The 14,253-nt window shown below is 47.2% G+C and overlaps 1 protein-coding gene across 2 annotated transcripts in view; it reads right to left on the reverse strand.

Moving 5' to 3' along the window:
* Positions 1-3,818: 3,818 nt before the first annotated feature.
* Positions 3,819-14,253, reverse strand: part of CCDC3 (coiled-coil domain containing 3) — a 203,365-nt gene continuing 192,930 nt past the window's right edge. For both annotated transcript variants that reach the window (NM_001282658.2, NM_031455.4), the window contains one exon: positions 3,819-5,873. In NM_001282658.2, the coding sequence (NP_001269587.1) occupies positions 5,610-5,873 (264 nt within the window). In that variant the 3' untranslated portion in view covers positions 3,819-5,609. The remainder of the gene's footprint in view (positions 5,874-14,253) is intronic.

The following is a 14,253-nucleotide window of genomic DNA, read 5'->3' on the forward strand; positions in this document are numbered from 1 at the left end:
GGAAGGCAGGAGGAACTGAGACTATGATTTTCTTTTATTAAGATAAAATTTGCATACAAAAATTCACTATTTTAACCATTTTTAGGTGTATAATTAAGTGGTTTTTAGTGTATTTACAGTGTTGTAAAATACTACTGCTATCTAATTCTAGAACATTTTGTCACTCCAAAAGAAACCCTATAGCCACTCCCCATTCATGTCCAGCACCTGGGAATTCCTAATCTACTCTCTGTCCCTTTCTTTTTCTCCTCTCCTTCTGGGACTCTCAATATGTGTATGTTGGTCCACTTGATAGCATCCTATACATCTCTTAGGCTCTGTTCATTTTTCTTCATTCCTTTTTATATCTCTTTCTCAGCCTGGATAATCTATAAGTTCACTGATTATTCTGCTTGTTCAAATCTGCTGTTGAGCCCCTCTAGTGAATTTTTCAGTTATTTCTACTTTTCAACTCCAGATTTTCCATTGGATTCCTTTTTATAATTTCTGTCTTTTTGCTAATATTCTCCATTTGGTAAAATATTATTCTTCTGGTTTATATTTTATTTACTCTTTATCTACTTTAGCATTACTAACAAATTGGAGTTCCAGGGTTTCCTCTTGACCTTCCCTGACACAATAACCTTAACCCCATTGTTCAGAGAGCCAATGTGGGCATCTGCCCGATGCCAAGAATGTCTATTCTGACTACTTACTCAGGAGCTGGGGAAAATAGCCACAGAATGGGTTTACAGACTCATGAGGCTTAATGTGAGGTGGATTTGTGCCTGAGCACCATTTACTCTCTGACCCCCATGAGCATCCCCTCTAACTGTTGTCTCAGTAAGAGCTCAGCACCAGCATCAATAATCTCTCAAAGGTTTTAGGATTTCCTTTGCTGTGGTGCACATTTACACTGGTGAGCATCTGAAGCTCCCTTTTTAATAGTCTAGGAAGATCCATAGCATCCTGTAACGTTACCACAATGTCTTTCTTCAAGGGTTCCTGACCTTCCTTTGATCAAGGGGCTCTATGACCTGTCTTAGGTCTTGGAATTGGTTGAATGGCCATGAATTTCCCATACATGTAAGTTCAAGTCAGGCTTCTGTCTGCCAGATCTAGAGTTCTCTTTTTTCGAGAGTCTTTGTCACCCAGGCAGGAGTGCAGTGGCACAATCTCGGCTCACTGCAACCTCTTCCTCCCAGGTTCAAGTGATTCTCTTTCCTCAGCCTCCCAAGTAGCTGGGATTACAGGCACCCACCACCATGCCTGGCTAATATTTTGTACTTTTTTAGTAGAGATAGGGTTTCACCATGTTGGCCAGGCTGGTCTCGAACTCCTGACCTCAAATGATCTACCTGCTTCAGCCTCCCAAAGTGCTGGGATTACAGGCGTGAGCCACCACGCCTGGCCTAGATCTCCCTCCTTCCCTCCTTTCCCTCCCTCCCTCCTTTCCTTCCTTCCTTCCTTCCTTTTCTTGCCTTTCATGTGTTTCCTTTCTTTCTTCTTTCTTTCCTTCTCTTTCTTTCTCTTTCTCCCATCCTTTCCCCTCCCCTCCCCTCTTCTCCCCTCCCCTCCCTTCCCCTTCCCTTCCTTTCCTTTCCTTTCTCTTCCTTCCTTTCCTCTTTATTTCCCTCTCTCACTTGCTCGCTCTCTTTTGCTCTCTCTCTCTTCTTTCTTCTGTCTTGCTTTCTGGTATACAAATCAGTCCAGCCTTTCCTAGGAGGTCCATCTACTTTTCAGTCCTAGGAACTCTATGATCCACAATTTGGATGACTTCCTTGGCCCTGCTTCCTATTGCAATGACCACATCCACTTTGTGTCTGGAAGTTGAGCATGGCTACACGGTGTTTGTACCCTAGTACCCCATAATCCACACTGAGCTCAGGGACCCAGGTTAATGGCAGCATCTCCCACATTCATCTCTAAGCTTCCAAGTATGGCTGCCTCTGTGCTTTTCAAGGATGCCAACACGTGATACTTTTTAAAGTGAATGTGTTCTGGGTCTTCTCAGGTGCCAAGGTAGGAACTAGCTGACTGAGTTGCAATTAGAACCTTCCTGTCGTCTCCCTAATCCTTTGGATCATTTTGTCTAAATTATACCTAGCAACTTCTGGCATCTCATCTTCATTCAGCATAGGTTACCATTGAGTCTATAGTTCAAGTAACTGAGCAAGAACCACCTCCAGCTGCCTGAGTTAGCTAGCACATTGAATCCTGACACTATCAAACACACCCATATAAATAAATTCTGCACAATCTAAACTTAGGTTTCCCCTTTGCTAATCTAGGAAAGACACTAAATATCCATTCCCACCGTATAACCCTTAGGCTTTAACCACTATAAATTAGCAAAATCTTGAAATTACTTTGGTGTGTAAGCAGTTTTCTGAGTGTGACTTGGTGAATTTCCCTATGCTCAATTAATCTAATTATAGATCTAGAGGTAAAGATGGAAAGGTAGCATGGGCAGGGTCAGTTTCACGGGCCTCTGACCATGCAGTCACACAGAGCCTTGTGCTTTAGAGGGTCCCACACTTGGTTTAATGCTTTGCTGTTGTTGCTGCCTTGAAATTCTCAATTTTTTTAATAACGGGCTCTGAATTGTCATTTTGCACTGGGGTCCTGCAAATCATGCAGCTGGTTCTGAGAGTGGGGCGTGAAGACAACTGGGCTCTTTATACACAGTAACTATCTCAGGAAAGGCCACGTGTGGTCCTTAAGCAAGGTAAGGACAGCTTCATCAGACAGGGAGGGAGCTGCTGTTTCTGCTAGCAGGAAAGCCCAATAGGGTTTATGAGTTGAGGGGAATTGGACTGAATGTATCTATTAAGATTTTTGAGGTCCCCCTCATTCCCAGTGAGTTACTGAGATTTTTCTATGAGTTCTGGTAAGGCTATGACTTCAACCTAAGTTGCCCTACGTCTGATTTTTGGCTATGTTGGCTTTGTGGTTAAATAAATGGACTTTCTGGTTTTTTTGGCCATGGCTTAGGCCAAGAATTATTTTTCTTTTGTTTTTGTTTTGAGATGGAGTCTCACTCTGTTGCCCAGGCTGGAGTGCCGTGGTACAATCTCAGCTCACTGCAACCTCTGCCTCCCAGATTTAAGTGATTCTTCTGCCTCGGCCTCCTGAGTAGCTGGGACTACCCACCATCATGCCCTGCTAATTTTTGTATTTTTAATAGAGATAGGGTTTCACCATGTTGGCCAGGCTGCTCTCAAACTCCTGTAGGTCAAGAATTTAAACCCCTGCTAGCTATGGCCCACATGCTGCTATCTTGATTTCTGGAAACTGCAGTTTGAAGATTCTAGACTCTACCTGGCTCTTGTTATGTGAGTTGAGTTTGGAAGTCTCCTGGGCTCCTTGTACCACAGAGGGAAAGTAAACAATGGTCTGGATCTTGGAGATAGTGCCCGGACAGGCTGGCTACAGTGCATCAAGGTCGGAGTAATTATTAGAGTGTGAAGCATAATATATTCCTACAATTAACAGATGACAAGGGTAGCATAAGATGACAGTGCAGCAGGTAACAGGGACCTGGGGATCCTCTGTGTTTTTCTGAAGACATTGATTAATGTTGCTGCTTGTCCCTTGTGAGGAGCCAGGCAGGAGAACACTGCTTTTCTGCAGGTGTGTTGAGAAACGGAAACCCCAGGGCGAGATGGGGTGAGGCCACATCCAGACAGGGCCAGCAGAGCAGGCTTGAATTCAGGCTCCTCAGTGCCCCAGGTGTTACTCACAGGCATTCCCCCCAGAGGATCTAAATCACTTTTCCAGGCCAAAGCTGGAAATCCTGAAATCTCCCTGACCCAAAAGAAACACTCATCATCTCACTGTTGTGGTTGAAATCGCCGCTCGTATTTATTGGAAAAGCAGAACAGTATGCACCTGTAGGGGTGTAGCTTCCATGGTTCTCCAAGCACGGGCTGTACATTACCCTTAGGCTGACCATTCCCTTGCGGGGGCGCAAAACTGCTTTGAGGAAATGTCCCCAGGAGGAATAAACTAGAAGACGCACCTGCTATTTCACCATACTATGGAGAATACAGCTAATGAAGTGGTGGCAGAAGCTTGGCCGTGTGAGTGCCCCAGGGTAAAAGTCTCTCTTCTGTCCAGTCCAGAGCAGAGACTTCTCCCCCGTGGACAGCAGCCTGCCACCAAGACTCAAGCAACGTAAGAGTCATCTCCCCAGACTGGCTGTCAGAGCAAGAAGCACCCAGCCTTCCTAAAGGCAGAAGAGTGGAAATCTGACAGTGCCTGCCATTTCCGGTACAGAGGACAGCATCACCAGGCCCTGCAGTGTCTGGGGGGGGTCTCTGGGGGGCAGATCCTGATGAGAGGCCAGGAGCCTTTACTGGTGGAAGAGCAGGGAAGGGCCCTTGTTGGGTTGAAAGGCCATGATCAGAAGATAACCCAGAAAAGGCCACCCAGTTGACTTCTTAATCACACAGCTGGGACCCACTCAAATGTGCCTGAGCAATAAGTCTAGTGAATACTCTCATTTTTACTTATAGTAGTGTCTTAAAAGTTTTATTTCCAGAAAGGTGAAGTGCTTTGGTGGTGTAAGGAACTGACGTAAGGACAAGTGCACTGACGTACACGTATTCCTATCGGAACAAACAAGGCTTGTTGTGGGGGAAAAGTGTTTGCATAAAGAAGAAGAGATTGGAATGGCTGGAATGAGCCCTTTGGGAGCCTGGCTGGGAGTGAGGTCAGGTCACGTGATCCCAGTAGGTAAGGAGGTGTCTTTGCAGAAGTTCACAGCGTCTTGGAGCACCTCACTTTGAGTTCAGAGACATTAGAAACAATTACTCAGCAAACAAGAAGTTAGACTATAGCAGTGGCTGAGAGATTGCTCAGTTTCTCTCAATTTAGGAAGCAGTCTGATGACCCATGGCAGGCCGATCAAGGCAGTTGCCCCCTGTGTTAACGCGACCCATAGGTATCATCTTCAACTCTTTGTAGCTGGTGTTGGAAATCAGGTATAATTTATCTTGTTTAATTACCTGCTGCCCTGCTCCTAATTCCCTCCCCTGTGATGAGCTTATGAAGTCTTCACCTGCCTCAGCTGGAAGGAAAATGCTGGCTGGATAGGGAGGCCCTGCACGTGCTGATTTTCAGGCATCTTGGATGCAAGGCCACCATCCCCTTCCAAAGATGTGGCCAGTGAGGTGCCAGCAGGTTCCAGCACCAGCGTCAGCTCACTCATCAGGACTAATGGTTGTCCTGGACTGGGGAGCTGGGAACCACCCTGATTTTTTTCTGAAATAAAGGCTAAGCACGTTGATGTCTTTTACACTAGAGATTCTAAAATGTTCTCTCCCCAGTCAGGGCTCTTTCTGGGCTGCTCTGCAGGCGAGCATTCAGCACTCAGGGATCCCACTGCCTCTGGACTGCCAGGCACTGCGTCTGGGGTCAGGCCAGGAAGGGGCAGCGCGTGGGGTCTGACATTGAGGCCAGCACCCAAGGGGAAAGCAAGCCTTGCATTTTATCCATTTAGACTCTACCAAATGCGTGATTAAAAACAAAAACTCTTACAACCCTTGAAATAGCTGCATGTACGAAACCTCACTCATTCTCAATTACCGTCAGGATTGGCCCTGCACACCTGGCAGCCCCCAGGCCCGTTACCCCCGCAGGTAGGGGGGGCGCACGGGCCCCCGGGCATTGATGTGCGGCAGCGCGCCCGCCGCCAGCTTCTCACTGAGTTTCTGGTTCGCCAGCTCCAGGTGGCGGCCCTTCTTACGCGCCTGCCGCAAGGACCTCTTGACCTTCTTCACTCGCTCCCGGAGCTGCCGGTTGCGCTTCTCCAGGGTGGCCACTTTCTGCTGCAGTTTCTTGACGTGGTCCTCCTCCTCAAACAAGGCCTTCTGCACCGAGGAGCACATGAGCTGGAGGCAGAGACAGCGTGCAAGGAGAGGAGGTGAGTCCCAGAAACTGCGCTGCGGCCAGGGGAGTCCCAGAAGCTTCCCCGAGTGCTGACAGCAACACAGACCCCGATTCCCCACCCCAGCATGGGCATAAACCCCAGGATGTCCTTGACGGTGACATTCCCCGCCCTCCACCCTGTGAATCCTGCCCTGGCCTCAAATACAGAGCCCCCGTTTTGCTTTCCATACTTGGCTTCCTTGGAAGATGTCGTTTTCAAATGATATTCTGAATATTTGTCATGCGTAGCAAAAAGGAAAGAGCCCCGCTTTGGTAGAAGACCAAAACCAGAAATGCACACAGAAGGTGGACAGTTCCGGGAATGGGGGGAGTCAGGTGGCCTAATTAACAAAGGCTGAGCCACTTACATTCGCGAAGGCTCTGATCAATGCTGGCCTGTCCAACTGAAGGGAGGGGTTCCCTTCAGCAAAAACAGACTCTCTTTGCTCCCTTTAGCTGGGCTGGCCAGCACACAGAAGGTGGATAGTTCACAGGAAAGAAAACGCCAGTATCTCTTAAACGCATGAAAAGATGCTTAACCCCACTCATAATAACATAAAAAAAACAAATGAAAGCCATGGTGAATTACTATTTTTCACATATTAGATTGGCAAAATTTCAGAGTCAGGATTTGGGAAAACAGGTGCTATCATACTGTCAGTAGAGTGTTGACATCTATAAAGACCAATCTGGCTCTGTCAAAATAACTGCATATACCCTTTGATCTAGTAATTCTGGGACTATCTCAGATAAATACTCTCATATGTGCAAGCTGCCACATGTGCAAACATTATGGCATTATTATATTAAAAGATTGGGAACAAAAAATACCCATCAAGAGAGGTCTGGTTCCATAAATTATAGTAAATCTACACAATGCAAAGGTTTGCCGTTTTTAAAGGAACAAGACAGCTCCGTGTGAATGGTGGTGTAGCAATGTCTAAGTGGTGTTCATATTGAAAAGCTGTGCAGAACAGTGTGTATAGTGTGATACCAAGAGTGCGAAATACGGTACCCATCTGTGTCCGTTTAAATATGCATACACTATCTCTGGGAGCATATGCAAGAAACGGGTAAGGGTGGCCATATCCGGGGAGCAGAGAAGACAGGAAGAAGAAGATTCATTTTCACTTTTGTACTTTTTGAATTTTGTATTTCATAGGTTTGGCTGTGTCCCCACCCAAATCTCATCTTGAATTCTAGCTCTTATAATCTCCATGTGTCATGGGAGGGACCCAGTGGGAAGTAATGAAATCATGAAGGTGGGTTTTTCCTGTGCTGTTCTTCTAATAGTGAATAAGTCTCAAGAGATCGGATGGTTTTAGAAAGGGCAGTTCCCCTGAACACTCTATTGCCTGCCATCATGTCAGACATGACTTTGAGCCTATTCACCTCCACCATGATTGTGAGACCTCCCCAGGCATGTGGAATTGTGAGTCCATTAAACCTTTCCTTTATAAGTTACCCAGTCTCAGGTATGTCTTTATTAGCAGTGTGAGAACGGATTAATACAGTAATAAGGCTGGCATTTCCTTTATATGTGTGTGTGAGCATATATATAAAAAGAGGTATTCTCCAATCTTTCTCCTTTCTCCCATTTTACCTCATCAGAAGCTACATTCCCAAAGAAAGACTTGAGCCTCAACTTTCCTCTGCTTAGAAATCTCCATCATTGAGCCGGGCTGGGTGTGGTGGCTCACGCCTGTAATCCCAGCACTTTAGGAGGCTGAGGTGGGCGGATCACAAGGTCAGGAGATCGAGACCATCCTGGCTAACAGGGTGAAACCCCATTTCTACTAAAAATACAAAAAAAAAAAAAAAAAAAAAAGCCGGGCGTCGTGGCGGGTGCCTGTAGTCCCAGCTACTCGGGAGGCTGAGGCAGGAGAATGGCGTGAACCTGGGAGGCGGAGCTTGCAGTGAGCCGAGATCGCGCCACTGCACTCCAGCCTGGGTGACAAAGAGACACTCCATCTCAAAAAAAAAAAAAAAAAAACAAACTCCATCGAGCCCCACTATCTACACTGCAATATGATGGTGATGGGTGAAGAGCTCAGACCCTGAGGCCAGGCTGCTTTGGTTTCCAGTCCTGCCTCTTCCACTGACGAGTGACCTGAGACCTTGGGCAAGCTTCCTAGGCTCAGAGTAGTGGACTCTGGTCTGTATTAGCCAGAACCCACTTCAGTACTAAAGGATTGATTTCCCCAGCTTCTTGGAGTGCTGCAGACCGATAGCCGATAGCCCTAAGCTGAGTCTCTCTCCGGAAACTGACCCTGACCTAAGAGAACTGCCCAAGGTCACGCCCCCTTCTTTGGAGCACCTGTATCCAAGGACTGGCTGACACCAGGGTATGAAGACCAAGGCCCCTCATCCCAACTTGGAAGATCTCTGAAGGGCGGTCCCCATTGCTGGGTGTCCTGGGGTAGGCTACAGCCTTTGTTGAGACTGGATCACAGGCTGATGTCTGCCTCCGCCTGTTCTTGTTCTTTTCTACCCAAGGTATTAATCCCAGGAGCATTCTTGAAAACACCACCTATACCTCTTACATTATTTTTTCTTTTCTTTTCTTTTTTTGAGATGGAGTCTTGCTGTGTCGCCAGGCTGGAGTGCAGTGGCGTGATCTTGGCTCACTGCAATCCTCCACCTCACGGGTTCAAGCGATTCTCCTGCCTCAGCCTCCTGAGTAGTAGCTGGGACTACAGGCACGAGCCACCAAGCCCGGCTCATTTTTTGGTATTTTTTGTAGAGATGGGGTTTCACCATATTGGCCAGGATGGTCTCGATTTCCTGACCTCGTGATCTGCCCGCCTCGGCCTCCCAAAGTGCTGGGAGTACAGGCGTAAGTCACTGCACCTGGCCCACCTGCACCTCTTATTCCAAAGTCTACGTCTCAGGGAACCTGGCCACTCTCAGTGGGATGATCATGGTTGTTGGGAGGATTTCATGAGTTTTACTTGAAAAATGTTTAGAACCATGCCCTCGTGCACAGTAAACGTTCACTAACTGTTAGCCGTGATTATAGGATAGAGTCAAATCTCCTAAAGCCTTTAACTTTTGTGATTGGACCCGGCCAACATCTCCAGTCTTAGTGTTCTTCCTTCTGTTCCCACATTTTATACCCAAGGCACACTGGGTCCCACCCAGCTCTTCCTCCAACACATCAGCGCTTTCTCATCCCAGAGGCTCTTCCTCCCGCCTGGAGCACTGTTCTCCCCATCTCCGCCTGGCCATCTTGGAAGCCCTCTGTGGTCCCCTTTCACGATGCTTTCCACCGGGTCTCCCTGTGTATGTAATGTGTCCCCCTCCCCAGTCTCCATGGCACGCCGTAGCTATTCACACCACACGCCAAGTACCTGGTGGCACTAGGAGAATGTGACTCAAGGGCCTTGACATTCACAAGTCACAAGCTCCTGAAGGCCTGGTTCACAATGGTTTTTGCATCCTTGCTGCCCTGGCCTTTTTAGGCCTACAGTTAAGAAAAAGGAGCCAAGTGGAATGTTCCAATAATACCTGTCATTTAATGAGAAACTCTGGGCTCCCGGGGAAGCTGCTGTTACAGGGGAGACCATATGTGCAACACTGCCCTCTTCTGGCCAAAATGAGACCCCCTCAAAAAGATGAGAAGGTGGGCATGAGAAATTCCCGGGAGAACTGACAGTATTTCTATTGTCTTGTGGATAGATATTAGCTATGGAACTTAGGCTTTAATATGGCCAAGTACCAGGCTGAGCACTGTATAATGACACTCCCTCATTAAGTCATGAGTTTTCTACAAGTTATGGTAGATTCTTCAACCAAGAACAAGACAAAAAAGTCCAAAGTCCATGACAACAAGAGGATTGGGGTTTTGGAAGACTGCTTGCTCGAATTTTCAAAGAACAGAACCCAATAGTGGCTGGAACATAACATCAAAGAAGAGTTGAAGGCAGGCTCGATGGCGGTGTTCAGAAGCTGCGTTTAAAAATCGTGAAAAATAGAGGAGGATGCTGGGACTTGAGTGATCACGTGTTAAGAGTTCTTTCTAAGACACAACACTCTTCACAGTTAGCCCTCGACCATGGACACAGCTGTTCTCCAGGCTAGCAAGAGGATGAATTTCACCTCCAGCAAGACTTAGAGCCCAGACAAAAGGAAGACCTTGACCCAGGCTGTAAAAACCAAGATGGAACAGAGGGACGCCTTGAAGTGCATCTGTGTGTGTATCCGGAGTGGGAGGATCATTGAGATGGGAATGATAAATTCCCAAGCAAAGGTGAATGTGAAAAGCGTGGATGGGATGAGAGTTCCTTGGTGAACATGTCATTCTTTGGTCCTCGTGGCCTCTAATATGGGTAGGGTTTCAGTAGGAGCAAAAGACATCAAAGGACTCTAGTAACGTATCCAAGACAACCAACATAGCACAGCCATGACCCAGGACTGCTTAGCAGGCAGGTCTGTATCTCTGCAGCAAAGTGGGCCATGCCTCTGAGTAGGGGGAGCCTGTGTCATGTGAATTGAGGCTAACGCCATAAAATAACCAAGCCACTGCTGATGGAGCCGATGGAGCCCTCTGGCATCCCAGCTATCACCTCAAAAGAAAATCCTGTGTTTAAGAAAGCAAGAATTTCTAGAGGAGAGCTGTGCTTTCCAAAATGTGTGTTTCTTTAAGAAATGCTTTCTTTGGAATGCTTTCCAAATGAAATCCATCTCCTTTTAAAACTGCTTTAAAAAGAAAAAAAGGTCCAGATACGCTATTTGCTCAATTTGCTTTGTGGTATTTTTTGGTAAACTGAGAAGAGCAGGGAAAGGCCAGGCCAAGCTGAAACAGGTACTGCCATATTTTCTTTGAAGAAGAACCAAAGAGAATGTCCTACAGGGCAGCCCCAAAGCAACAGACTCCTCATAGGCAGGCCCCGCTCAGGCCTGCAGCACTCAGCGCCTCCCAGGTGCTTGGGTACCTCTGGCATTTGCCTGCCCAGAGCTTTTCTCTGGAAGTTTCCATGTGGCCAATAGGATGCCTGCCTAAGGGCAGATGGGAAGATTGCCCTGGGAGCCTGCTCTTTTATTTTCGAAAAGACAAAAGTTAGGCTGGGATATCCATACTTCCTTATCTGTCTAAAATAACACTTTTTAAAACCATCAAAGCACACTGATTGTAGAAAAAACATTTTTTAAAAATATGGGACCAACAAAAGGAAAATCAAAATCATCAATGATTCTATGGTACAGAGATAATCACTGTGGACATTGTAACATTTCTTCCTAGTATTGTTCCTACGGGTATAAATAGATAACTATTTCAAAGAAAACTGGAGTCCTGCTGTTACTCAGTTTTCTGTTCTAATTTTTTCCCCTTTTCATTTTATCATGATTCTTTTCCAGTCATCGGTCTGTACACTTCCCGTGAGTATTTCATGGGAGCTGGAGGAGGGAGCATCTGGTGGTTCCACTTGGCCACGAGGACTAACTCACTAGGCAAGACTGGCTCACTAGGCCGGGCATGGTGGCTCTCGCCTGTAATCCCAGCACTTTGCGAGGCTGAGGTGGGAGGACTGCGTGAGCCTAGGAGTTTGAGACCAGCCTGGGAAACACAGGGAGACCCCATCTCTAAAAAATAAAAATAAAAAATAGCCCGGCATAGTGGTGCACATCTGTGGTCCCAGCTACTTGGGAGGCTGAAGCTAGAGGATCACTTGAGCCTGGGAGGTGGAGGCTGCTGTGAGCCATGATTGCACCACTACACTCCAGCCTAAGTTACAGAGCAAAAGCCAGTCTTAAAAAAAAAAAAAAAAAAAAAAAGACTGGCTCAGGCTCACTAGTTATTAATCCTCCTCTATCCTTAGGACCACAGGCCAATGGGGAGGGATGGCAAGATGGGGTGCTCATGCATCCATGAGATTGAGTGGCCTTAATGTGGCCTTTTTGGGTCACCTGTCTCCAGTGACGGGACAAATCCGTGGAGAGCTCTTTACCCGGAGCCTCCACCTGAAGTCTTCCTATAAGTTTCCTGGTTTCTCCGGGAAGCTCAGGTGTGAGAAAGTTTCACCATCAACATCTTGAGCAGTTAAGGAAGTATATCCATGATACCATCTAGAATCACCTCTCATTTCCAAAGCGTTTTGGCTTCCATATGTTCATTCATTCTGGCAAGAAGCATTTATTGTGTGCCTGGCACTGTATGGTGCAGAAAGTCCCCCCCAGTTATTCTGGAATATAGCAAGTTTGTATCAAGCTAAACAAAAAGACAGTATGTTTTTTTAAAAAAATATCTCATGGCACCAGACATGCCAAAGAGTCACCGAGAGGATTCTTGCCTTTCACAGCTGCTTTTAATTTAAATAACCACGTATAAAGACAAGACAAAGTGTACTTTCTGAAACGTAAAAATATAAAGGAAGAACAGTCCAAAAGCAACAACACAGACAAATAGCTTGCTTTTTTAACACTTTGTTCCTGTTCTCGGGATTCAAAAATGAGAAGGAAGAAAAAAGAAAACCCAGAGCAGTGATCAGGAAACGATGGCCTATGGGCCACATCTGGCCCCCTGCCTGTTTTTGTGAATAAAGTTTTATTAGACCACAGCTATACTCATCAGTTTATGTTTTGTTTGTGGCAGCTGTTGTGCTGCAATGGCAGAGGTGAGTAGCTGCAACGGCTGCTTCCACAAAACCTAAAATCTGGCCCTTTACAAGGAAAAGATGCTGAATCTTAACCTCAAGAGGGGCTCAAGGCAAACGCAGGTGGGAATAGGATGGGTTTGGAGGGCAGCTGGTCTACAGGCAAAGAATGGATGAAGGGCAAAGGGTTTGAAAAAAACACCTGGTGCCAGAGACGCCCAAGAACCTCACTGTCCACATCTCACCCCTTTCCCACCACTTTCAGACATTGTTTTGTGATGATGGCTTTGGCTGCCAGGTCATGGTTCAAGGTCTCCACGATCCTTGTCAAAGGTCCTATTGACTCCATCTCAATGTACTGCAGCCAATTTCAAACCTCCAGGTGGAAATTAACAAACCAGCTCTTCCCAGCACGACTGACTGTTTCTAAAATGCATCCCTTGACATTGGACAGATGAGCCTAGAGCAAGCCCCTGTGCCCTGCTTGGGAACATCAACTGTCAGTGTGGATAAGGGTCTGCAGGGGATTGCTCTAGTCCCGCAGTTGGCCGGTTAATTCTGAAAAGTTTACATGGCGCTGTGTTTTCTGGCCCCGTAGAGGGCAGAGGCCAAGATTCCTTCATTATCCACATGATTCAGGGACTCTGGGGAGCTTGATGGGAAGCCCATGGGCCTTTACCCACGTCCTCCGTAGTGCCTTTTGGCGTTTTCCATAAACAGGTTGGAAATGCAGCTTTGTTCTCCCATTCTTTAAAAGCCTTTAGAGATAGAGATCTATGAGGAGGTGGGCAGAGAGCCACGTCCACGCAGAACGGTTTCCTGAATGACTCGACAGGACCACACTGGAGGATGCCCAGAGCTGCTGAAAAAACTCCCAAAGCTGGGAAGTGACAGCAGGGAAGTTCTTCTGAGGACTGTCTGGAGGGACAACCTGAGATGACTGCATGTGGCTTGGCAGCTCGTTCTCTGCTCCACCCAAAGTCAAAAGAGCTGCTTCCCTGGTGCCAGGAGCCCAAACAAAGGGAACGCTCATGCCCAGGCTGTGGCGGGAGGGGAGGCAAATGAAGAGGAAGGCGGAGATGGAGTCAGGGAAGAGGCTGGGGCAGGAGTTTCCTTTCCATGAGGCAGCACCCGGCCTAGCTGGGCAGGGCCACAGCAGCCTCTCCTGCGTCCGCTTCCTGATGCTGCCGGGGGAGGAGGTAGCCGGGCAGTGTGGGTAGGAAGGGGTTTTGGACTCAGGTAACTCTGGGACTGAATTCTGGCTTAAACGATTCCACACTCCACGTACCCAGATACCTGTTAGAGTCCACAGGTCAGGGAGCCCACTCAGCCCCACCATCGGACAGTGGGGTCTTGCTTAAGTCAATGAACCTGTCTTGGCTCAGTCTCCTCATGTATACAATGGGCCTAATAAAGCCTCTTCCCTAGAACTGCTCTGAAGATGAAATCAGATGATAAGGGTAAAGCATCTGATGTAGCACCTGGTGTAGGGTGAAGGACACACAAAGCTTTTGTGATTGTCGTTCGCCCGAGCTTGACCTTTGCTGCTGGAACTCCTCCTCCCTCAGCATCCTAGGTCCTCTTGAGTGTCTGTGATTTTTTGCATCTAATTCCTTCCACTAAATCTCTGCTCACACCTTAACCAAACGATGACATTCTACTTCTTCTCCAAGTCTTGGTTCAAGAGTCACCTCCTCTGTGATGCCTTCCTGGTTCCTCCTGAAGTCTTCCTATAAGGAAGAGCCCTGTC

Source organism: Homo sapiens, chromosome 10 (assembly GCF_000001405.40).
Source record: "Homo sapiens chromosome 10, GRCh38.p14 Primary Assembly".
Taxonomy (NCBI): Eukaryota; Metazoa; Chordata; class Mammalia; order Primates; family Hominidae; genus Homo; species Homo sapiens.